This window comes from Homo sapiens, chromosome 4 (assembly GCF_000001405.40).
Source record: "Homo sapiens chromosome 4, GRCh38.p14 Primary Assembly".
NCBI classification, from domain to species: domain Eukaryota; kingdom Metazoa; phylum Chordata; class Mammalia; order Primates; family Hominidae; genus Homo; species Homo sapiens.
Genome location: NC_000004.12, coordinates 108,612,589 through 108,638,382, shown reverse-complemented (window position 1 = coordinate 108,638,382; position 25,794 = coordinate 108,612,589). Strand labels below are relative to the sequence as shown.

Genomic DNA, 25,794 nt, shown 5'->3' with positions numbered 1-25,794 from the left:
AAGGGAGTTACAGAAGTTCATAACTGATAGTTTCTACATTTACAGATATTATAAGGCTGCTGAGAGTGAGAGTGAGTGTTGCATTAGGAAGAGAGGTAAAGAGTTGGGAGCTGTCCTCTGTGAAGAATAAATTGTTTTGCAACATTAGGGACCCAGGTTAAAACAAAAAAACACTCACACAGGCACATAGATATTAAAATGTGTTAAAGAAAAATAACTGTAGATCTACACGTTTTTTACCTCACTTGCAAAGCTGTTGCAATTCAACTAAATAACAACAGCATTTTTCTCACAGCTGCCCACATGTAATTCTTTTCTGTGGCCAGAGTAGGGCAGGAGTTCTCTTTCATAGGAATCATAGTCCTGCATAATTTTATCCTCATCAAAGTGCATTCTTGATACTTTGAGATTAACAAACTATAGTCGCAAGCATTATGAAAAGGCAAACTTATTTTAAAGAAACTTGCCTCAATGCTGTGATCAAGTAAATGCAATTAAACATTACATAAATGGGAAAAGCTGCATCCCACAGCATTCGAGCATATCTTTAAAATGCAAATGATTTACTTCTTTAATGATGAAAGAAAAAATCTTGTGAAAGCATCATTTTCAGATGAATAAAATATCAAACCCAGGGTATTTTTTATATCTAGTTGTCTTACAAATATTTTACATACAGGCTTGTAAACTAAAAAAGAAAAAAGTATATTTGGCACGTTTTGGTAATTGAATCTTAAAAATAAATAATTTCTAGCTAAGCTTTCAAAAGTATACTTACTAGATTTCATTTTTCAATTCAGAAATTTAAAGAGAATTAATAACCAAAATGGTCTACAACACCATTATACAGACGATTCCTTTTTTTAAAAAATAAGATGACATGTTTGGAGTTATAAATTCAAAGAGTACAAATAATTTTAAAAATGCAAAGCAAATGTCACCTTCCCCTTATCATCTTCTCCCCTCCCCTATTCCTTCTCCCTGAAAGTAACCACTGTTAGATTCTTGGATTGAAGAACACTTTCCCAAGGAATGTTTTACCCTAAGATTAGGAATGGCATTTAAAACAACAGGCTTTAATCACTTCAAAAGAATTTGAACCAGAACCCAGGTTGCAATTTGATTGCACATGTGAAATGTGGCAATGGTGGCTGGGCGCGGTGGCTCAAGCCTGTAATCCCAGCACTTTGGGAGGCTGAGGCGGGTGGATCACGAGGTCAGGAGATCGAGACCATCCTGGCTAACACGGTGAAACCTCGTCTCTACTAAAAATACAACAAATTAGCTGGGCGCAGTGGCGGGCGCCTGTAGTCCCAGCTACTCGGGAGGCTGAGGCAGGAGAATGGCGTGAACCCGGGAAGCGGAGCTTGCAGTGAGCCGAGATCGCGCCACTGCACTCCAGCCTGTGTGATAGAGCGAGACTCCGTTTTAAAAAAAAAAAAAAAAAAATGTGGCAATGGCCTCAGAACCAAAGCCCCGAGTAAATGGCCAGCTATTCCCCCACCATTCCCACCGACACCTTTCAGAGGGAATGAGAAATCAAAGTGCCTGCTCACCTCCAGAAATGATCTTTCCAGAGGTAAAATATTTGGGGTATGCTTAAGCAGCAGCTGTTCCTGCTGTCTGCCAGAAGCCCAGAAAAAAGACTGTCGCCAGGGCTGTCAATATGGTCCTTTCTTACACACTGAGATCAATTTAACAAAACAACACAAAAATACGCTGGCTTAGAAATGACAAGGAATTTAGCCATACACGTTGAAGAGAAAAGTGTGTTTTACATATATCCTGAATAAAGTATCTAACTTTTAAAGAATGTTGTAAAATATTTCCATATGTACATTATATCAAAGTACTTTCCCCAAGTTCAGTTGAAAGGAAATACCCAGAGCATTAGGCCCATCAGAAATGATGTCTCCAGTTGTGGTTTTCAGATGCCCTGCCATGCATTTGCCCAGAGCTAATCAAAGACAGCTTGATACTATCAGCCAGTGTGTGTGTATGGGGGTGTGTGTGTGTAATTCCTTAAAAAGAGAAAAAAAAAAATCATTTTGGGTAAAACATGATACAGGAGGATATCAGTTGGCTTTTTGGTTTATTTCCAATATTATCACTGCTCTTCAATCACTCTAAATGAGAAGACTTCATCCTGGCCATCTTGATGCATTTTCTGTGTTTCTCTGTAAGTAGGTAAGAAGGCAGCTCTTGTACTGCAAGCAGGAAAGAGGCTTACTGAGCATCATTACCATGAACCATGTGCTCTGCGATGTGGACAACACAAGGTATTTCAGCAACCCTCAGAACCTCTGAAATTATGATTATTTATCTTCATTTTTACAGGTGAGGTGACTAAGATGGACAGAAGGTAAGAAAATTGCTCAGTCACCTAACTGGTTAATGGTAGACCTATGATTTAAACCCATGTTTGTCTAATGCCCAACCGTACACAGTTTGTACCACATCGTTGTGAAAGGGCAGTTCAAGATCCATCTGGGTGAAAATCAGCTAGGAGATCTGTTACCATGAAAGTTCTTGGCCTGACTTTCAGAGGTTCTGATTGGGGACATCTTTGATGGAGCTTGGGTATCTGAATTTTAACAAGTTTCCCAGAAGAATCCTAAGTGAATCTAAAGTGTGAGAACCACTGACAATATTGTTAAGCTCAGATTTTTGAAACAGAAAAGGAAATTTCAGAAGACAAACCTCATGGGAGCTTCTGATGTCGATTTCTGAAGACATGGCAATCCCGTGTTTTCTTCACTGCCGATCCTGTCCTTTGCATTACCTCTTAGCTTTGTGTTACATTGAGTAGAGTGATCCTTGACTCCAAACAGATTGAGTTACCAGCTTCCTCTGCTTAAAATTCCCTCAGCAGAAGTCAGTCTTTCAACTCACCATCAGCAATTACAAAACCAAAAATATAAATACTCCTTGAGGAGGGAACATGTTGACTCACATGAAATGAGCATGTGCGTGGGTTTGGGTGCCTCGGGCAGGGATTCTGGGATTATGTCCAGAAAGAGAGCATACATTTAGGGTTAGCATGCCCCTTGGTCCCCTGAACTCTTTGCTTTTGGGGTGGGATATTGGCAGGTGAAAGCCAGAGCAGCGCCCTCTAAAGCATGGGACCCAGAGGAGAGGCCCCTTGTCTGAGGGCCGCACTGGTCCTAGAGATGAATGGCAAGGACCCACACAACCTGGTGTCTGGAGAACTCCCTAACCTCATTTCTGTTGCGCTTTCCCTCAGCTTCAGGACCTCCTCCTGCCTCCGGACTATTCTCTGCTGGAAAGCTCTTTCCCACATATCCTTATGGCCACCCTCCTCACTGCCTTCAGGTCTTTGCTTCGATGTCCCCTTCTTGGGGAAGTCTCCCCTCACCAGGATATTCAAACTGCAACCCTCTACTTCCACCCTGCATTCTATCCCCTTTATCTGCTATATATATATATACTTTTTTTTTTTTTTTTTTTTGATATGGAGTCTCGCTCTGTCCCCCAGGCTGGAGTGCAGTGGCGCGATCTCGGCTCACTGCAACCTCCGCCTCCTGGGTTCACGCCGTTCTCCTGCCTCAGCCTCCTGAGTAGCTGGGACTACAGGCGCCTGCCACCATGTCTGGCTTATTTTTTTGTATTTTTTAGTAGAGGCGGGGTTTCACCGTGTTAGCCAGGATGGTCTCGATCTCCTGACCTCGTGATCCGCCCGCCTCGGCCTCCCAAAGTGCTGGGATTACAGGCATGAGCCCCCGTGCCCGGCATCTGCTTTATATTTTGTATAGCATTTATTGTTCATATCGTGTTTTTTACTTACTTACCTATTGACATATTACTTATTCCTTCATTCATTTATTGTCTGTCAGCCCTCACTGGAAGGTAATCTCCAGTAAGGCAGGGATTTTTGTCTATTTTGTTCATCTTAGTGCCTATACTAGCATTTTGTACATAGTCAACAAATTGTAAATAATACCTGACTGATTGTGAAGAAATTTTAAAAACCAGGGGCTTGGTGTCTTTCCCATCTTACACTGGAGCAGGATATCCTGGCTGTCACTGGGGGACGGCGTGAACTCAGAGATAATGTCGAATGGAGTGAAGGAGAATGATGACGATTTTCATTTAGCAACCTTATCCTCTTTCATCTCCCCCAAATTGTCAAAAAAATGAATCTTCCTGAGGGAATCCCTTGAGAATGAAGCAGAGAGCATGGTTGAAGAGGCAGCAATCAACGCCTTATTTTATCCATGGGATAAACAAGTGGCAAGACTCCATGACTCTCTCTTTTGCTTGTTCTCTCTTAAAAATAGAATTGTAGGGCCGGGCGCGGTGGCTCATGTCTGTAATCCCAGCAATTTGGGAGGCCAAGGCGGGTGGATCACCTGAGGTCAGGAGTTCGAGACCAGCCTGACCAACAAGGCGAAACCCCGTATCTACTAAAAATACAAAAATTAGCTGACCGTGGTGGTGGGTGCCTGTAATCCCAACTACTTGGGAGGGTGAGGCAGGAGAATCACTTGAACCCAGGAGGTGGAGGTTGCAGTGAGCTGAGATTGTGATTGCGCCATTGCATTCCAGCCTGGGCAACAGAGTGAGACTCTTGTCTCAAAAAAAGAAAAAAAAGAAAAAAAAGAGAGAGAATTGTGGGAATTACCAATCAGGAAAATATTTCAACATAAAAATATATTAGCTTAAAATTCTATGGAGGAAATGGAATGGTAATATATGTCAAAAAGAAAAAGGGGTGACACAGTGGCTCACATCTATAATTCCATTGCTTTGGGAGGCCGAGGCAGGAGAATCGCTTTGAGGCCAGGAGTTTGAGACCAGCCTAAGCAACGTAGCAAGACTCCATCTTTTTTTTCTTTTTTAAAACAAAAACCATTTTACAAATTAGCCACGTGTGGTGGTACATGCCTGTAGTCCCAGCTGCTTGGAAGGCTGAGGCAGAGGATTGCTTGACCCCAAAAGTTTGATGTTGCAGTGAGCCAGGATGGTACCATTAAACTCCAGCCCAGTCAATAGAGCAAGACCCTGTCTCTAAAAAAACAAAACAAAATGGAAGAAAAAAGAACGAATATAAAACTTCCAAATGTTAGAAAAGCTTGTTCCTGTCTTTTTGAAAATGGCTACTATACCATAAAAAAGAACAATATCATGTCCTTTGCAGGAACATGGATGGAGCTGGAGGCCATTATCCTTAGCAAACTAATGCAGGAACGGAAAACCAAATTCTGCATGTTCTCACTTATAAAGTGGGAGCTAAATGATGAGGACACATGGACACATAGAGGGAAACACACACTGGGGCCTATTGCAGGGTAGAGGGTGGGAGGAGGGAGAGGACCAGGAAAAATAACTAATGGGTACTAGGCTTAATACCTGCGTGATAAAATAATCTATACAACAAACTCCCATGACATAAGTTTACCTATATAACAAATCTGCACATATACCACTGAACTTAAAAGTTAAAAATAAATAAATAAATACATATACAAAAACTCAAAAAAATGGCTATGGAGATTTTGATATGCTTAAAAATTGATAAAACAGTTCTCTTTAAAATTATTAAAATGTTCACTCTGTTGGAAATGATATCCTTTGCAAGGATTTACATTTTGAATGAAAAGTTTTAGATGACAATCTGAAAATGTGCCAGAGTCTACATAACTTTCCAAAATGTTAAGGGGTACTCAAGTAAAAAGAAATATTTAAAGATCATTGCACTGTACCATTGTCTTAGTGGTATATTGCTATGTAACAAATCACCTCAAAATTGAATGGAATTTAAAAAGCAGCCATTTTATTTTTTCCCACCATCCATTGGGCTGATTAGACTTAACAAGGCAGTTTTCTACTGGTCTTGCTTAAGGTCTCTCATGCAATTGCAATCAGATGGCAGCTTTGGCTAGAAGCAGAGTTGTCTAGAGCAGGGTCCCAAACTATGAGCTAAGAGACCAAATCTGACCTGACATCAGTTTTTGTAAATAAAATTTTATTGGAACATAGCCATGACCATTTGTTTATGTATCGTCTATGGCTACTGACACTCTACAATGGCAGAATTGAGTAGTTGTGAAAGAGAGACCCTATGGCCTGTGACATCTTTTATGACTTACACTAAGATGCAATAAACACGTGAATTTTCTTCAAGACCATTTGTTCTTTAGGCAAGTCAAGCTGTAAGCTTATTTTCAACCCTAGAATGAGAGAGAGTTGAGAGAGTAAAGTCTTCAGGCTATTTGCACAGGCCAAGGAATATAGAAGCTGAATGAATATCAAGGGAATTTGGTCAGTAAATTTGATCCTTTTCCTCCTTAATGGTAGGTGGTTGGTGCCTAAATTATCTAGGGGATTGCATAATTTAAATATCCCCTAATGTAGAGGAGGATTTATTTGCTCCTAACTAAAACAGTTTAGGAAAGCTTTTCTTTTGCTGGTGTCCCTTAGGATGAAAAGTAGCCCTGGGGCCACACAGGTATAGTAAATCTATGTGCTGACAGGGATGTTCCTTCTTAGTGATTAACAATTAGTTCACACTTTTCAGGTTTATTGGCCTTTAAATATTGAGAGTGAATTGGATTGCCTGAATTGATTTTGTTTTTCATAAAAACGATTTCTTGACTTACGGCATTTGCACATGTTGGTTTCTATGTCCAGAGTATTCTCCCTTTTTGTCACCCAGACAACACCTACTTATCTTTGTTGTGGGCTTAAACATCACTTTCTCAGAAAAAGCCTCCCTTAACTCCCCCATGAGGTTCCCTTTCCACATCGTTTCACAGCACTGTGGACTTTCTTTTTGTGAGTCTAATCCCAGTGTGTACAACAACAAATGTATTTATATGTTCCCCATTTAACATTGTCTCTCCTGTGTGCCATGAGGCCAAGGGAAGAGTCTCATCTGCTTTGTTGACTACTGTATTAACAATTATCCAGCATCATAGTTTCTGGTACATGGTAGTTTCTAATAAATATTTATCGAGTAAATGAATGAAAGCTAAAGCAATTATAAAAGAATGTAAATGTTTGGCAAAAATACTTACATAATCCTTCAGGTTAACCAGAAACATTTAAGATTTATTAAAAATTATTGAATAGCTAATATTTTGGAAACCCAAAAGCATCTTTTCATCCAGAATTATTGCGGATCTTATCCTTTAATTTAGAAAATGTTAGGGACTGAATGTTTGCATCCCCCTCAAAATTTATATGTTGGAGTACTAACTTCCAATGGGATGGTGAGGCTTTGGGGAGGTATATATTATTAGATTTTGAGGATGGAGCCCTGATGACGAGATAAGTGCCCTTCTAAGAAAAGACATGAGACAGGTGATCTCTCCACCACATGTGGATACAGCAAGGAGATGGCCATCTGCAAACAGGAAGAGACATGGAATCTGCCAGTGCCTTGATCTTGGACTTAGCTTCCAGAACAGTGAGAAATAAATGTTGTTCAAGCCACTCAGTCCGTGGTAGTTACAGTAGCATGAACTAGCTGAGATAGAAATGAGATTCATAAAGACAATGTTAACTTCTTTTCTTTTTTTTTTTTGAGACGGAGTCTCGCTCTGTAGCCCAGGCTGGAGTGCAGTGGCGCAATCTCGGCTCACTGCAAGCTCCACCTCCCAGGTTCACGCCATTCTTCTGCCTCAGCCTCCGGGTAGCTGTGACTACAGGCGCCTGCCACCATGCCCGGCTAATTTTTTGTATTTTTAGTAGAGACGGGGTTTCACTGTGTTAGCTAGGATGGTCTCCATCTCCTGACCTCATGATCCACCCACCTTGGCCTCCCAAAGTGCTGGGATTACAGGTGTGAGCCACCGTGTCCAGCCAGATAGTGTTAGCTTTTCTACTCCTGGTTTAGAATAGTTGTTTACCACATCTAGTTTTTAAGAAGATGGAACTTTCCCCTTTGCAAGATTTTTAATTCTTTTCCCTTCCATTCATACAGAGAACTGGTCACATAGAGAACTGGATTCAATAAAAGGCTCATTTTGGATTTTATAAAATCAAACCCTAAACTCTTTACAGAATCGAAGTATTAATAAGTACTTATAATAACAATCAAGTCATTATCAAACATGTACCAGATATATATCAGAGCTCCTGGTACCAAGAGCATACTATATTAGTGATCATATACTGTAACTTGAGTAGTATCTAGGGATGTGCTGGTAGTATTTAACCTCCAGCTCTCTGGGGGAAAACAGGATTTTGCAGCATTTGCTGAGGTGTAAATACTCTCACCATAACAATCTCAAGATGCCAAGCAGACGTCACTGGATGCAAAACTGGAAAGAGATGCACACAACTGGCTCTCTCAAGCTGAGGTGAGGTAGCTCCAGCACACCAACTTTTTCTATTGGACCTAATAATGGCAGAATAATTATTACCGGCAATAAATAATATACTTTAGGGAAAAATCATAACATTCAGAACTGCTTCACAATCTTACTCTGTGAGGATTATATGTGATTTTAGTTGGTTTGATAAGATGCATAGTTTACAGTGAAAGTTGGACATAGCCCTGACTATCAAAATTCTGGAAGCCCAAGCTCTTAATCACTGGGGTAAAGATTATAGGATGTTATTAAGTTGCTAAAACAAACTTGATTTGCTTACTTAAACATTTGGAGATTTTATATTTTTAAGGGTAAAAGAACCCTTTCAACCTTCTAACAGAATTTATAAGCAATTCAACGGAAGGAGAAATATTAGACTTTAAAAAGAAAACCACTGACTACATTCACATGTCTTTTTAGGAACCTGTCAAGAATACTTTGTCACACACATAGAACTGGATTCAATAAGAGCTTCATTTTGTTTTTTACAAAAATCAAAACCCAGAAGAGTTATAGAATCCATTTGGGTCACTTGGACAGAGTCGTTACTATGTTCACACCCGTCAATGCTCTTTGTCTTCTAAATACTGAACTTCAACACCAACTTGTGAATATTAAAAAACAATTCAGCATAAGTGAAATAATCAGATATATAAGAAGGCTCATGTTTTAAAATAGAGAAAAACTGGAAATAGCCCAAATGTTCAAAATAAAGGGAATGTCTAAATTATAGCATGTAAATTTCATACTGCAGGCAGCTACTAAAATATTCTTTGAAAAGAAATATCACAGGGGTTATGTGGGAGAAAAAAAGGAGTTAAAAGTTTATATATGCAGTGGGCTTCCAGTTTTGACTTAAAATGTCTATTTTATTCATGGAAAACAAGATGGGAGGAAAAACATTCAACTATTAAAAATGACTGAGTAGTGGCCCAGCGTGGTGGCTCAAGCCTGTCATCCCAACACTTTAGCAGGCCGAGGCGGGCGGACATTCTGAGGTCAGGAGTTCGAGACCAGCCTGGCCAACATGGCGAACCCGTCTCTACTAAAAATACAAAAATTAGCCAGATGTGGTGGCAGGCGCCTGTAATCCCAGCTACTCGGGAGGCTGAGGCAGAATGGCTTAAACCCAGGAGGTGGAGGTTGCAGTAAGCTGAGATCGCGTCACTGCACTCCAGCCTGGGTGATAGAGTGAGACTCTGTCTCCAAAATAATAATAATAATAGTAAGTAGTGAAATTGAGATTTTTTATCATTCTATTTTTCCAAACTTTCCAAATAGTCTACAAAGCTGTTTGTTAAGTAAAACCATTTAACATACCAAGAATTCTTGGAAAAGAATGTACACCTCAATTCTTTAACTTCCTTACATTTCTCAAAGGTCACCCATTTCATATTTTGCTGAAACTTGCTAGTTCCCACCAGCTAGAGCCTGTGTCCAGTCATGTTGTTCTACCTAACTTGGAGCAGCAAGGAGAGGGAGGAGCCTCCTTCCACCAGCAAGAACTCAGGTTGGGGTGGCAAATAGGCTTTCTCTTCCACAGCAATTTTTTCAGAAATTACATCTCAAACCTTTCAAAAACTAGACTGGCCTACAGAGCAGCCAATTAGTTTAAGTTTTAAGCCACATTATTGTCTGAGTATATTATTAAAAGTGCCAATTTTTAGATGGTTATATCAAATACAATAAAACACAGTCACAGAACTGCTTGGTGCAGTATATATAAGCCTGAATCATGAGAAAGTGATGTAAATCTGCCTTAGAATTCAAGCTTTTCAATTCTATCCCCGTTTTATATTTTCAATACTGTGATTAAACATTATACAAGATAATTAATTCTATTATCCTGGTTGCTTAACAATCTTTGGGATTGGCAGGTGTTTGGAGAAAGCTAATGTATCTCAATCGTTTGAGACTATGAATGTTGACAACAGGGATCCCAGCTATCATTGATTATGCTAGCATTTATTAGGGTGCCCGGTCATTACACTTATTCACTAACACAGCTGCAAAAATCCTACCAACAATACAAATGGCTCTGGGTTTTCTATAACCTGTGTCTGTTCTCTCATCAGTAAAATGGGAATAAAGCTGTTGGAGTTGCTGGGAGGACTAAAACAAATTTGGTGGAGTCAGGCACACAGCCAATCAAGTGTACTGTGGTTAAAATTAAATTTTTTTTTTTTTTTTGAGGAGTCTCACTGTCACTCAGGCTGGAGTGCAGTGGTGCAATCTCGGCTCAGTGCAACCTCTGCCTCACAGGTTCAAGCGATTCTTCTGCCTCATTCTCCTGATAGCTGGGATTACAGGTGCATGCCACCACTTCTGGCTAATTTTTGTTATTTTTAGTAGAGACGGGGTTTCACCATACTGGTCAGGCTGGTCTCGAACTCCTGACCTCCGGTGATCCACCTGCCTCAGCCTCCCAAAGTGCTGGGATTACAGGCGTGAGCCACCGCGCCTGGCGGTTAAATTCTTAAAAGGGAGTTCAACTGCCAGCTTTGCCACTTACTAGTTCTGTGACTCCTCTTCTGCAAAACACTAATTAAAAATTTTTTATACCAAGAACAAGTTAACTGGCAGTGGGGTACAGTAAAGGTGTTATGAAATCCCATTTTTTTTGCCTTTTACCTTAAGGGGTATTCTTATTTTTTAATTATTTTTTAGGCAGGGTCTTGCCAAGCTGCCCAGGGTGGTCTCCAACTCCTGTCCTCAAGTGATCCTCCTGCCTCAGCATCCCAAGTGTTGAGACTGGGACTATAGGGGTGAGCCACTGGGTCTGGCCTAAGAAAAGGTGTTTTTTTTTTGGAGACCGAGTCTCGCTCTGTCGCACAGGCGAGAGTACAGTGGCGCGATCTTGGCTTACTGCAACCTCTGCCTCCCGGGTTCAAGCAATCCTCTTGCCTCAGCCTCCCGAGTAACTGGGATTACAGACGCATACCACCACGCCCAGCTAGTTTTTTGTATTTTTAGTACAGACGGGGTTTCACCGTGCTAGACAGGATGGTCTCGATCTCCTGACCTCATGATCCGCCCGCCTTGGCCTCCCAAAGTACTGGGATTACAGGCATGAACCACGGCGTCCAGCCAGAAAAGCATGTTCTTATGTATAGCTAAGCGGTAACTCTCCTCTGCTTAAGTAGTTACATCATGCCAGTTAGTAGGTAAATTTTCCTCAACTGAGGAAAATAGTCAAAATTTACTGAACTCCCCAGGTACTTTCAGCTTCTGCATTCCATGATGGCTCAAGGTCTCTGCTCTCTACTCAGATTGGAATAAAGCTTGTTATGGCTTTAAGAGATGGTGTTGGCCGGGTGCAAGGGCTCACGCCTGTAATCTCAGCACTTTGGGAGGCCAAGGTGGGCGGATCACTTGAGATCAAGAGTTCAAGATGAACCTGGCCAATATGGCAAAACCCCATCTCTACTAAAAATACAAAAATTAGCCGGGTGTGGTGGTGGGCGCCTGTAATCCTCAGGAGGCTGAGGCAGAATTGCTTGAACCCAGGAGGTGGAGGTTGCAGTGAGCCGAAATCGAGCCAGTACGCTCCAGCCTGGGCAAGAGCAAGGCTCCATTTCAAAAAAAAAAAAAAAAAAAAAGGTTGTCAGCCAACAGGTTGGGCAGAAGAATGGCTCATGCCTGTAATCCTGGCACGCTGGGAGGCTGAGGCAGGCAGACTGCTTGAGCCCAGGAGTTTTGAGACCAGCCTAGGAACATGGTGAAACTGTTTCTCAAAAAACCAAAAATGAGCCAGGCATGGTGGTGCCTACCTGTAGTCCCAGCTACTTGGGAGGCTGAGGCAGAGAATCACTTGAGTCCAGGAGGTGGAGGTTGCAGCAAGCCAAGATTGCACTCCAGGCTGGGCAGCAGGAGTGAAACCTTGTCTGAGCTGGCAGAAACACTACATAGTTCCCAAGAAAAATGAGGTCTGTATTTTAACATTCTGGCCTGGATAATAAATCCAATGTAGATCAGAAACTATACCCTTGACCCAAGGTTTTATATATAGTAGCTCACTCATTTGTTAAATAAGGAGTTCTGAGCTCTCCAAGATACCATTTTTGAACTGAAGTGACCTAAAAGAACAGAGGGTTTAAAAACAATCTTAAAAAGGTTCCATTCCAAGGAACTAGAATACCAAGGTTTCTATCCTATGAAACTTGCTGACGTAAAGGAGATACCATAGTAAGGATCAAAGGGATATTAAAGTTTCAAATAGAAGGGCCATTCCTCCCAAACCACCCTGAAGTCTCAGCCCACAAAGAGAAGGACATTATGCTCCAATGCAGCGGTAGAGCTGTCACCAAAAAAATTCTGGCCATCAGTGACCACCAACTGTTTCTTCAGAAAAAGTAACCCACTGGCTGGGTGCTGCGGCTCGCACCTTAACACCAGCACTTTGGGAGGCCGAGGTGGGCAGATCACCTGAGGTCGGGAGTTTGAGACCAGCCTGACCAACATGGAGAAACCTCGTCTCTACTAAAATATACAAAATTAGCCAGGCATGGTGGCACATGCCTATAATCCCAGCTACTTGGGAGGCTGAGGCAGGAGAATCACTTGAACCTGGAAGGCAGAGGGTGCGGTGAGCCGAGATCCTGCCATTGTACTCCAGCCTAGGCAACAAGAGAGAAACTCCGTCTCAAAAAAACCAAACCAAACCAAAAACAAACAAACAACAAACAAAACAAGAAAAAGTAATCTGCTAAAAACTATAGGGTCCCCAAATACCATACAGAAACAAAATCTGTATACTAACACATTACAACAGAAAAAAAAAAAGTCATACATACAGCGTCTTTTCATTTTTATTACTCAAAAAAGTTTCATTTTTTTATTTAGCTTTCTGACTCTGTGCTTGTGCCTTCAACACTTTCACAACGATTTTCTGCTCCTCGATAAGGAAAGCACGCTTGATCCTAGAAAGGAAAATACCAAATTAATCATTTCTTTAAAATGAACTTCATTTTTTATTTAGCACAGAGAAGGCAAACATGGTAAAGAACCAAGCAAAGCAATCAGGGAACCCAGGAAACTACAGGATACACAAATACAGAGTAAAACTTAAAAGGTGAAATTCATTTAAAGCAGGATAATCCTTCAATTTCATGCCAGTAGTTATCTGTCCTCCTTCTGAGTCAAGATAAACTATGAAGTCATCCCCACAGGAGACCACTTATGAGAGCTCTAATTTATTGTTAGGATCCAGGAATAGTGGTATTTCTTGATTTGCAAAATGTCTTAGAATATTTTAACCATATTTTTGAAAATTCCCAGTAAAAAACAACACATAAGGGGCTATGTGTTAAGAACTAAAATTAAAAGGTAAAGGGATATTAGCAAGAGACACCTCACCAAGAGCAAGGATTTTAGAACCTGTTTACGGCCAACTCCACCACACACTAGCTGCACACTGGACAAGTTACCTTCTCTATATTAAGGCACAAAATAGTTTCACACGTATTTAACAGGGAGTTTATGAGGATTAAATTTGGAAAGATTTTCTAGACTTTGAGCCTCCATCTAGGAGTGCATTTTATGGATCACTATCATTACAGTGTTGCACAGGACCTAGCAAAAAGCAGGTCTTCCTAGCATTTGTTAAATCAGAGTTACCACCAGAGTTTAAAGCACTCCTCTTGCTTCAACTTAAACCTTCCCCCACCCCATTTCCCATTGGTAAACCTGGTTATCAAACCCTACCCTCAAAACTCTGGGTTTTCTAATTTCTTCAAATCTCCCCCATGTGATCCTATCAGAGACACATACAACTGAATCACTTAAAAATTCCCTTAACTTACTCAAAGCACAGACCACATGCAGACCTGCTCAGCATCACAGCTAACAATGCTAATTTCTAGGCTATCCTGTAAACCTAAATTCAAATCTTCAGGAGATAAGGCCCGAGAATTTGTATTTTTAATAAATGTGCCCATCTGATTTTGTGTTCAGCAAAGTTTTAGAACCAAAGACTGGGGGAAAAAAAGCCAAACTTCTTCAGCTTAAAACTCATGACTTATCTCCAATGTACACTTCCATTTCTCACCCACAATGTGCCAGATCAGTCCGTACTTTCCTTGCCTGGAATGCCCTTTCTGCCTTTTGTCCAAAATTTGCCCATCATTTAGGTTCCAACTCAAATGCCATTCCTAGTTATTTGCAAGTAATTTCTCCTTTAAACTTCAATCATAGTTAAGCTTTGCTGTGTATCACAGAAGCTATATTTATCCCCTATTTGTATTAATGTAGTATCTCCTACTGTTCTCTTACAATCTACCTCCTAAAATGCAGAATGAAGCCTGCATTTGGTGTCAAAAGGTTTGGTTTAAAAACTCAGCTAGGACTGGGTGCGGTGGCTTATACCTGTATTCCCAGCACTTTGGGAGGTCGAGGCTGACAGATCATGAGGTCAGATAGAGACCATCCTGGCTAACACAGTGAAACCTTGTCTCTACTAAAAATACAAAAAATCAGTCAAGTGTGGTGGCATGTGCCTGCAGTCCCAGCTATTCAGGAGGCTGAGGCAGAAGAATTGCTTGAACCCGGGAGGCGGAGGTTACAGTGAGCCAAGATCACACCACTGGACTCCAGCCTGGGCTACAGAGCGAGACTCCATCTCAAAATCAATCAATCAATAAAAGAATTAAGCTAATCTACCTTTTATTCTGTAAAGCCCCTCATAATCTGGCTTTTCTTTCTTTCCCTTTTTTTTTTGAGACAGAGTTTCGCTCCTGTTGCCCAGGCTGGAGTGCAATAGCGCAATCGCAGCTCACCACAACCTCTGCCTCCCAGCTTCCAGCAATTCTCCTGCCTCAGTCTCTGAGTAGCTGGGATCACAGGCATGCGCCACCACGCCCAGCTACCTTTTTGTATTTTTAGTAGAGACGGTGTTTCTCCATGTTGGTCAGCCTGGTCTCAAACTCCCAACCTCAGGTATCTGCCTGCCTCCGCCTCCCAAAGTGTTGGGATTTCAGGCATAAGCCACCACACCTGGCCATAATCTGGCTTTTCTACCTTTGTTGTCCATCATCTCCTGCAACCCTATGCTCATGAGAATACACAACTCTTCTGTTCCTACACTTTTAACACCTTCCGCACATGAGAATACACAACTCTTCTGTTCCTACACTTTTAACACCTTCCACACTCCATCTATCTTTGTCCAAACCACTAACAGAGACTTTCTTACCCACCTCCTGAACAAAACCAAGTTCCTTTTAATCTCCACATCTAGCATAAATATGCCCCCAAATTATTACTTTGAATATCATTTCCTGCTTTGTGCAGCATCAATTATCCATAGCAAAGAAAGGGTTCTAAAGCATGCAACTGGTTTAAAATGAGTTGCTTCACCATTGTACTGATCAGCAGACAGTATAACACACACAATAATTTGCTAAGGAAAGCCCATTTAAGCATTTAACTTACCTGTCACGAACACATTTAGCACACATGGAACCACCATAGGCCCTGCTGACATGTTTCTTTGTTTTGGACAATCTCATAAGAACTTTAGGTCTTACAGCACGAACCTGCATAAGAAAAATATTAAGATTTTTGTGATGCTTTAACAGAAATTTCCCTAAATTTTGTTAAGTGTTAAGGGCAAGTTTAAAGTAGGTTACAAAGGGAAATGGTGTACTCATTTATCTGAAAGGCATTTCACTGCATTTCTCAGATTGGTTTAAAAAGTCTATGTTCGTGGCAGATTTGGCTCATGAATGTTTAGTAATTCTGAACCCTCTTAGTGGTAACCTCTCCTTGATTCATTCCATCGTCAAGGGATGAAAGCTCAGTAAGTTCAAGACTTGTTAGGCTGCACACAGTAAAAGGTACACTTACCCCTCGAAGTCTGCCTGGGCACACACCACATGCAGATTTTGGTGCTTTCCCAACCTTCTTGGTATAAAGGTAAACAATTCTATTACCAGGGGTTCGGGACCTAGAAAGTGAAACAGTCAGTAGGTCAGCATTTTGTAGAGTAAATGACAATATATACTTAAAATTTTCAGAAATACTTACAGCCTAGTTTTGTTAGAGGCTGTATTGTAGGAAAGCCTACGTCGGTATGTCAAACGCTGGACCATTCTGAGTGCCTAAATTAAGAATAGAGTAACATCAAATCTTTCCATTGTAAAAGTAAATAAAATCTCAAAACAGTATCATGTGGTCTATTTCATTCACATACATATCCTTGTATGTAACACCCTTAAATTAAGATGTATTATTCCACATTTTAAAACTACTTGTATTTAAAGGTGACTGATAAACAAGAGGCCAAGAATGTTAGCTTTCCTGATGGTAATCAAACGTGGCACTTCCTTAACGTTCTGATGACCAGGCTCCTTACTCAGAGTCTAATTTTGTTTGGAGTGGTGTCCAGAAAAGTGCCACGAGCCCAGTTGGAGAAACACCGCTTTAAACAAAGAGCACAAAAAGTGAGCTCTGAAGTCGAATCCTTAGCTATGCCATTTACTGGGAATATAAAGGGCAAGGAGCTAGCCTCCTTATCTCTAACATGGGAATTCTGTCTACTTTATACAGCTGTCATTAGGATTAAACGACGTGGGCTATCCGTCCCAACACAATGCCTGGCACATATCAGGGTTCAATGTCTTGCCCTAAAGCACCACCTGCGTAAAGGCATACCCTTTAATACTAATTTTGATATTACACAAGTTTCTTTGGGTTATGGCACCTGCTTTCTTCCCACTTCTGGAAACATCGTGATGTTATTTAGCAAATCGGTTATACAGATATGCATACGAGCAACTTCGTTAAGGGAACTACCCAACGTAAAACATAATCAATACTTGAACTAATTTAATCTTCCCATTCCACCCCTTGTAACCACCTCATTTGTTGTCACAAGCCTCTCACTAAAATTAAACTAAAACAGAATTACCAGACACCAAAACTTGACACGTAAAACCAGTGCGAGTGATTTATGAAGCCATTATTCTGTTTGCATCTCCAAAAGCAAGACAGAAACTTCTAACACATTTTTCTCTTCCTTGACATGGGCCTTGGACGCAGAAGCCAAATAGCGAAACCACCCGAACTCGCCGGACCCTGCCCTCCCAAAGACTAAGGACACGTACAGGCGTGCTGTGAAAACGTGGGTGTAAAATATGAAAACGTTTGGCGATTTTCCAGACTCAAACCGCCAAACCACAACTCGTTAGTCTCCAAACGCTACACTTGGAATGCAGCAAAGTCCCGGGTGGTGAGCTGTGGCTACTCACGGCTTTGGAGGTGCCACCAGGAACAAGGGATTTCCAAAGATCAAAGTAAGGAACTTCCTCACCACCAACCTCCCTGTTGTGCCCCTTACCCCTACACCAGCTCAAAGGACTGCTTCTGAGAGCTCTAGGCTTCCTCAGCTCCTCGGATGGCAGCCGATTGGTAAGGAAATAAAGACAGGGAAAAGAGAACAACATCCATACCTGCAGACAACGTCCCCGGAAGAGGAAGAAAAAAGCCTTTGCCAGTTCAAAGGTCAAATAGAATTGCGCAGGACAGGAAGTTGCGTCAGAGAGAGAGTATCCGTGTTGTACGGAAGCCGACGCACCTCTCCGACGTGGGCAGAGATGCAGGGAACCACCACGTTGTACGGCAACCAACGTGCCGCCCCTCTGTGGGCGGGGATTCACACTAGCTGTCTGTGTCAAGGCCACGCAGAAATCTATTGGAAATCGCTGTGGAAACAAACGCAAATGAAAAGCCGCAAAGAGCAAAGGTGGGACAAAATCAACTTCTTTCGTTGTCATGGACACTGCACTTTTAATCTAAAGGGCGCCAGCTCTGGCGTTAGACCTGGGTTTAAATCCCAACTCTTGACATTTATGGTTAAGGGACCTTCAAGGACCAGGGACCTTCAAGAACCTTCCCTTCTTCAACCTTCCCTTCTCTTTCCTTGTCATTTATTCAGAGCACAAGCTTTACAAACAAATTGGGATTTTAATCCAGTGTCTGCTAATTATTAGCTATGTTACTTTGAGCAAGCCCTTAAATCTCTAAAAGGAAGATATTAGGAACTACCGTGCCATGTTATGTCATGATCAAAGGCATTATGAAGTTAAAGCACTTAGCACAGGGTCTTATAGAGAGGAAGTGCTCAGTAAATGGTTGCTAATCTTATGATTATGTACAAAGAACTACTTGAGGCTTTTCATGGGTGGTAAAGTTTAACCTTTAAAACAGTATGTAAAATTTTACATTAAGCGCACGTGTGTATTTTTCTGAGAAGAGGGTCCCTGGCTTTCATCACCTTGTCAAAGGGATTCATGACCTCTAAAAAAGTAAAGAACTCTTTGCCTGGGCTGTAAAAGACAATTCTAAAAGGGGCCTTTAAGTTTTTAATCTTAGATCAGGCTCCCTGGAAACACACCTCGAAGAGACTTGAGTGTTGGCTTATGGGGAGCGCTCTTAGAATGCACCTCCAGGAAGCTGAGAAAGGCGGGGTCAGGTGATCCACAACGTGGTTGCTGTGAGGCAGCTGCATTGCCCCAGAAGAGAGGATTTGGATAGGATATCCCAGTACCCACTCAACTTTCCTTCTAGTATTTCTAATCCATCTAGCAAACCAAGAAAGCAGGCAAGTGACTGAGGGCATGTAGTCTGTCTTGAACTGTGAGGCCTATTGATTCTATCAAGCCTCACATCACTGCCATCTTTGTCACAACACCAGATGGAAGGCTCTGGTTATATCCTTCCCTCTGCTCACTCTCAAATAGCTGCTTCTCCCCCGACCTTGTCATCAGCTACTTCCCTCCTTTCCAGTCCTTTGATTTTTGTCCTCTGAAATCCTTTTCGTCTCTGTGCCAGGCATTGAGATGGAAGCTTGCATAGAGAGACAAATGTGGTTTTTGAATAAATGCACTAATGAATGTATTTACTTGCAATATGTTCTCTATATTTTAAGAGAGACTTTGCAGAGCAGAAGAGAACAGGAGATGGGAGCCCTTGGCACACTATGCTGTTGTTTACGTCTCTGTCCGTGCCTTCCCCCACCCAAGTAGATAAGAATAGTGGTCTCATTGTTGTAGTTTTCCCTTAAGGTACTTAACCCAGTTCCATAATACTATTTTTCCCTCTCTTTAAATTTGTATTTGCATTTTTTCTTGATCAGTCTTGAGAGAGATATGGCAATCTTATTAAAAACTTCAAAGACAGCCAGGTACAGTGGCCCATGCCTGTTAATCCTAGCACTTCGGGAGGCTGATACAGAAAGATCACTGAGACCTGTAGTTAAAGATCAGCCTGGGCAACATAGCGAGACGCCCATCTCTACAAATTTTTTTTTTTTAATTAGCCAGGTGTTGTAGCACACACCTTTAGTCCCACCTACTCAGGAGGCTGAGGCTGGAGGATCACTTGAGCCTAGAAGTTTGAGGCTGCAGTGAACCATGATTGTGCCACCATACTCCAGCCTGGGCAACAGAATGAGATCCTATCTCAATAATAATAATAATAATAATAAATGTATGAAACTTTGGTATATGACAAAGGTAATATATCAGATTGGTGGGGAAAGATTGGTGACTATTCAGTAAATGAAGTTGGGAAAAATGGTTATACATATGGAAAGAAAAAATTGTATCCTTAAGTCACTCTACACTGAAAAAAAAAACCTTAAATGAGTCAATAATAAGGCTTTAATTTATTAGGAAATATAGGTGACTATCTTATAGACGTTGGAGTAGAAGAGGATTTTTTAAACAAGGCACAAAAAGCACAAACTCAGAAAAGACCAATAAATCTGACCACATTACAATTAATAGCTTTTATCAAAAAACCCTTAAATAAAAAAATGTTAAACCTCAAAGTTTCCCAGTCCAAGCCAAAAAAAGTATGATAGGTTCACCTTATTTTAATTTCACAAAAATTTGTAAAATATTTATTAAGTGCACACAGAAATTAATGAACAGAGAACAAAGACAGATTAAAAAAACAAATGAGATTCTTTAGGCCGGGTGTGGTGGCTCATCCCTGTAATCCCAGCACTTTGGGAGGCCAAGGCAGGTGGATCGCTTGATGCCAGGAGTTCAAGACCAGCCTGGCCAACATGGCGAAACCCCGTCTCTACTAAAAATACAAAAATTATCTGGGCGTGGTGACAGGTGCCTGTAATCCCAGATACTCAGGAGGCTGAGGCACGAGAATCACTTGTGCCTGGGAGGTGGAGGTTGCAGGGAGCCAAGATTGCACCACTGCACTTCCACTGAAGTTGCCAGCCTGAGCAACATAGAGAGATCCTGTCTCTAAAAAAAAAATTTTAAGGGGTTTTGTACATGTGATTATGATTACTAATCAGTAGACTACAAAGGAAGCCAAAATTAGAAGTGGAATGAAGGAATGTGTTGCAAGACACCAACAGCTTTTGTTATGCTAAAAATAGAACTCGTTATTGGCAGTTGTTTTTTCTTGATTTTCTTGCTTTCAGTACTTTATGCCACTAAGCATAAAATAATCATTTTAGTATGCTCATGGATTCTATGGATCAGGAATTTCTACATGGTATAATGAGAATAGTTTGCCTTTACTATGTAATGATTGGAGCCTCAACTGGGGGGTAACTTGAACAGCTAAGGTGTGCATGGGTTCTCTAGAGAAACAGAACTGATAGGGTATACATTTATTTGTTTATTTATTATAGGAATTGGCTCATGTGATTAAGGCAGAGAGGCCCTGCAATCTGCCATCTGCAAGCTGGAAAACCAGGACAGCTGGTCGTATAAGCCCTAGTCTGAGTCCAGAGTCCCAAGAACCAGGAGTGCTGATATTCAAGAACAGAGACCATGAATGTCCCAGCTTAAGCAGAGAGAAAATTCACTCTCCTCCGCATGTTTTTCTATTCAGACCCTCAACAAATTGGATGATACTCACCTACATTGTGAAGGCAATCTTCGTTACTTAGTGTACTGATTCCAATGCTAATCTTTTCTGAAGCCACCTTCACAGACCCACAGAAATAATGTTACCAGCTATCTGGGCATCTCTTAGCCCAGTCAAGTTGACACATGAAATTAATCATCAGGCTGGGCGTGGTGGCTCACACCTGTAATCCCAGTGCTTTGGGAGGCCAGGGTGGACAGATTGCTTGAGTTCAGCCTGGGCAACATGGCAAAACCCCATCTCTACCAAAAATACAAAAAAGTTAGCCAGGTGTGGTGGTGCATACCTGTGGTCTCAGCTACTCAGGAGGCTGAGGTGGGAGGATTACTTGAGCCTGGGAGGCAGAGGTTGCAGTAAGCTGAGATGGCACCACTGCACTCCAACCTGAGTGACAGAGTGAGACCCCATCTGAAAAAAAAAAAAAAGAAATTAATCATCATGGGGTGGGGGTAGAAGGTAGAATTATCTGAACACTTTTTAGTTTAATGCCTGGACTGGGCTGCTTCAAAGGCTGGGCTCTCATATGGAACTGTCAACCAGAGCAACTACATATAGCCTTTCTATAAGGCTTAGAATTCTCACAAATGGCAATTTGGTTCTGGGAGGTAGGTTCTCAAGAGAAAGCATCTAGGAAAAAAGCATTGTAAGAGAAACAACAGAAGATGCATGGCCTTGGAAGTCACATAGCATCACTTCAATCATACTCTATTGGTTAAGGGTGTCAGAAACCTAAAAAGATTCAAAGGCAGTAGACATATATCCTCATTCTTTTTTTTTTTTTTTTTTTTTTTGAGACAGAGTCTTGCTCTGTTGCCCAGGCTGGTGTGCAGTGGTGCAATCTCGGCTCACTGCAAGCTCTGCCTCCTGGGTTCATACCATTCTCCTGACTAAGCCTCCTGAGTAGCTGGGACTACAGGTGCACACCACCATGCCTGGCTTTTCTTTTTTTTTTTTTTTTTTTTTTTTTTTTAGTACAGACGGGGTTTCACCATGTTAGCCAGGATGGTCTCGATCTCCTGATCTCGTGATCCACCTGCCTCGGCCTCCCAAAGTGCTGGGATTACAGGCGTGAGCCACTGTGCCCAGCCTATATATCCTCATTCTTGATGGAAAGATTATCAGTGATTTTAGGATTATATGTTAAAACCACCATAGTTTCTTTCCCGCTCTTTAATATTTAAACCTTTTTGTTCTTAACATGCTTCTGACCTGTCTCCCAGTCCAGCAATGTCTAATGTGCTGTTAAACCCATCCCTCGAGTTTGTAATTTCAGTTATTACATTTTTCTATTCTAAACTTTCAATTTGTTTTTCTGTTTATGTTTCCCATTCTAGGCTGAAATTTTCAGTCTTGACTTTTTTCTTTGAATGCTTAAACACACTTAGCATAATTATTTCAATGTTTCATTATCTGGGTTTTCTTAGGATCTGTTTGTACGGTCTGATGTTTCTCTTGGTTTTATGAAAAATTGATTTTAGGTCCTAGATATCTACTCATTTTCTAAGACCACTTTGTTTTAATTCAAGATGCTTTGTATAATAAATGATATAATATCTAGTAAGACTGACCCCTCCCAATGTTGTTCTACTTTTTCAGGGTTTTCTTGACAATTCTTACTGATTATTACATACAAATTTTTAGCATCAACTTGTTTAACTCCAAACAAAAGTTGACATTTTTATGTGTCAAGTTTGTGTATTAGCTTAGGGATACTTGACATCTTTATGATCCTGAGTCATCTTATCTAAGAACATGGAATATCTGTTTGCTGTGTCCTTAAAGTTTTATCCCTAAAAGCTCTGTACATTTCTTATTAAGTTTATCTCTAGGTATTTTATCTGTTTTGCTGTTAACATAAGTGGTATACTCTTACCCACTACTCCATTTAATTGTTTTCTTTTAAATTGAAGGCTATGGATTTTTGTTTATTCATGTATGCCCTGCTACCTTACTGAATTATCTTATGATTGGTATTAACTTTTTATTGATTTTATTTTTTTCAGATATTACCTCCTCCTTTCTAATTCTTATGCCTATTATTCAATCCCATTGGCTTATATCTCAAATGCAATACTAAATATAAATAGTAGATAGATTAATGGCATTTTTGTCTAATTCCTGAATGCAGGAAAACATCCATGTTTCTCCACTATGTCATATGTTAAGAAAATAGCCACTGATTACTATTTATTTATTTTTTTTACCATGTCAGGAAGGGATATTAATTTATGAATTGCCTTCTTACTATCTATTAAGATGAGAGTTTAAATTTTCTCTTTAGATCAACTAATGTAGTGAATCATATTGGAGGAGGGTGATGGGGCGCCTTTTCTAATTTGCGTAAGACATCATGGTTTTCATGTCTCACTGGCTGTTCTTCTGCCTGGAATGCTGTTCCCCACGTATCTGCATGGCTTGCTCCCATTTCCTTTATGCCTTTGCTCAAGGTCACTTTTGAAATGAGGCCCATCCTAATCATCTCATTTAAATTGCACTTTTTGCTGTCCTCCATTGGCATTTTTAGTTCCTCCCACCAGGTTCTTTTTTTCCTCACACTTATCACTTTCTAACATACTATATATTTATTTATTGTGCTTATTGTGTGTCGTCTGTCTCCACTACAAGTGTACTCTGTCTCCACTACAAGTATACTCCATGAGGCTAGGAAGTTTGGTCCTTTTTTTCTTTTTTCCTTTTTTTGACTTACATGTTTCCAATACCTAGAGCAGTGCTTGGCAAACAGTAAGCATTCAAAAATATTTTTTAAATGAATGAATAAGTAGAGATTAGCGCCTACCAAGGAATTATTCAAGAAGAATATCAAATAATAAAATTTAGTATTCTAGCGAAGGTTAGACTTAACAGCTATGGAGATAAAGTAAAGAGATTAAAAGCATTTTCATTGTAGAACTTTTACACGTTTTTCCATTATTGGGCCTCATAGCCTATATTGCACCATGAATCAATGCCTTTTATTAATCTCGTGATTATTTGTGAATGGCCCAATTATAGTCATATGTTGCTTAATGACAGATACATTCTGAGAAATATGTTAGGTGATTTCGTCTTTGTGTGAACATCATAGAGTGTACTTACACAAACCTAGATGGTAGAGTCTACTGCACACCTAGGCTTTATAGTATAGCCTTCTGCTTCTAGTCTACAAACCTGTACAGTATGTTACTGCAGTGAATAGTGTAGGCAATTGTAACACAATGGTAAGTATTTGTGTATCTAAACATATCTAAACATAGAAAAGGTAGAAGAAAAATATGATATAAAAGATAATGGTACACCTGTATAGGGCACTGACTATAAAGGGAGCTTGCAGGACTGGAAGTTGCTCTGGGTGAGTCAGTGAGTGAGTGGTGAGTGAATGGGAAGGCCTAGGACATTACTATACACTATGGTAGACTTTATAAACACTATACACTTTGTATACACTATATATATATTTATATATAAAAAGATAAATATATATACTCTATATACACACTATATATATGTTTTATATACACTAAATTTATAAAAAGTTTTTTCTTCAATAATAGACTAACCTTAATAAGCTTACTGTTACTTTTTTACTTTATAAAGTTTAAAAAAAATTTAACTTTTTGACTTTTTGGTAATAACACTTAGCTTAAAACACAAACACATTGTACAAGTTTTGCTACAAAGAGTTAAAATATCAGAGCCACTCTAAATAACCACTGTAAATTTTAGAAATAGGAGTTTGAAACAAATTAGATTTTTCTAATAGAAATGTTCTGAGCCTAAAGCCCTAAAGGGGAGTAAGGAAACCAATTAACTTTAATTTAAATAATCATGTCTTAAGTAGCAAATGAGCGAAGTTCTATTGTTAAAGAACAACTGTACTAAATCCCCGAAAGGTTAGATTCAAAATGGTATAAATACAGTGGTTTCACATCTTACTAATGAAATAAATTTCTATTGGTCATTGTAACCTCTGCTTCTTGTCTTACTGGACATTGTTACTGAGGGTGGAGGAAGGGAATGATTGAGATTAAGGGCAGAATAATTATGTGCAATTCCCATTGATGTTCCTATTGTTAGTAACTTTTTTAAAAGCAACCAATGAAACAGCTAATAATTTTATTCCTGGGAAAAAATAAGAAAATCTGAGCAAAGCTTATTTTCTTCTTTTAAGCTTGTATATATAGTATATGATTTTCTGTTTGTACTTGCTATTTAAAAACAATGTATTTATAATGATTGAGGTCACCATGGTGTTTTATATACAAACATGCCCCCTATTTACATCCACAATGACTGAATTTCTGCCAATGTCTATAAGCATTAAAGCAACCATCAAAAATGTATTAATAAGGCATATATTATTAATAAGGTATAATACAGTAGATACTAAACTCATGCCTGGAGTTTTATTCTGGATGAGTTAATGTAGTAAAGTAGGAAGAGAGTGAGTTTAGCAAGCAGTTTGAAGCCAGACGATGGAAAGTTTTAAATGCTATGCTTAAAGGCTTAAATTGTTTCTCTCGTGCCTTGTCTTTTGATTTCTTTCTCCTCACGTGCTACCTTT

At 40.2% G+C, this 25,794-nt stretch overlaps 1 protein-coding gene and 1 long non-coding RNA gene across 7 annotated transcripts in view, besides 2 other annotated features; one reads left to right on the top strand and one right to left on the bottom strand.

Moving 5' to 3' along the window:
* Nucleotides 1-7,898: 7,898 nt before the first annotated feature.
* RPL34 (ribosomal protein L34) lies at nt 7,899-17,807 on the bottom strand. Of its 6 annotated transcripts, none has more exons than NM_033625.4 (6): nt 17,671-17,807; nt 16,359-16,432; nt 16,179-16,278; nt 15,765-15,868; nt 13,130-13,255; nt 7,899-8,362 (listed from the first exon to the last, which is right to left on the bottom strand). In NM_033625.4, exons 2-5 carry the CDS (start codon nt 16,421-16,423, stop codon nt 13,171-13,173), a joined length of 354 nt encoding a protein of 117 aa, NP_296374.1. In that variant the 5' UTR covers nt 16,424-16,432; nt 17,671-17,807; the 3' UTR covers nt 7,899-8,362; nt 13,130-13,170. The 6 variants fall into 6 exon arrangements, with proteins under 6 accessions (NP_296374.1, NP_000986.2, NP_001306161.1 ...); NM_000995.5 differs by having other exon boundaries at nt 17,783-17,807; NM_001319232.2 differs by lacking the exon at nt 7,899-8,362 and adding an exon at nt 16,687-16,752 and having other exon boundaries at nt 13,013-13,255.
* Nucleotides 17,070-18,269: an enhancer, noted in NCBI's record as "P300/CBP strongly-dependent group 1 enhancer chr4:109541270-109542469 (GRCh37/hg19 assembly coordinates)". NCBI's record gives its function as "activates an origin of replication core promoter dependent on BRD2, BRD4, P300/CBP, MED14 and CDK7 cofactors, with strong dependence on P300/CBP, by STARR-seq in HCT116 cells {active_cell/tissue: HCT116}" and the evidence as "EXISTENCE:reporter gene assay evidence [ECO:0000049][PMID:35650434]".
* Nucleotides 17,795-17,844: an enhancer, noted in NCBI's record as "active region_21798". NCBI's record gives its function as "activates an Ori minimal core promoter by ATAC-STARR-seq in GM12878 lymphoblastoid cells {active_cell/tissue: GM12878}" and the evidence as "EXISTENCE:reporter gene assay evidence [ECO:0000049][PMID:35858748]".
* Nucleotides 17,926-25,794, top strand: part of RPL34-DT (RPL34 divergent transcript) — an 82,268-nt gene continuing 74,399 nt past the window's right edge. The window contains exon 1 of the long non-coding RNA NR_026968.1: nt 17,926-18,075. This is a non-coding gene — a long non-coding RNA (RPL34 divergent transcript). The remainder of the gene's footprint in view (nt 18,076-25,794) is intronic.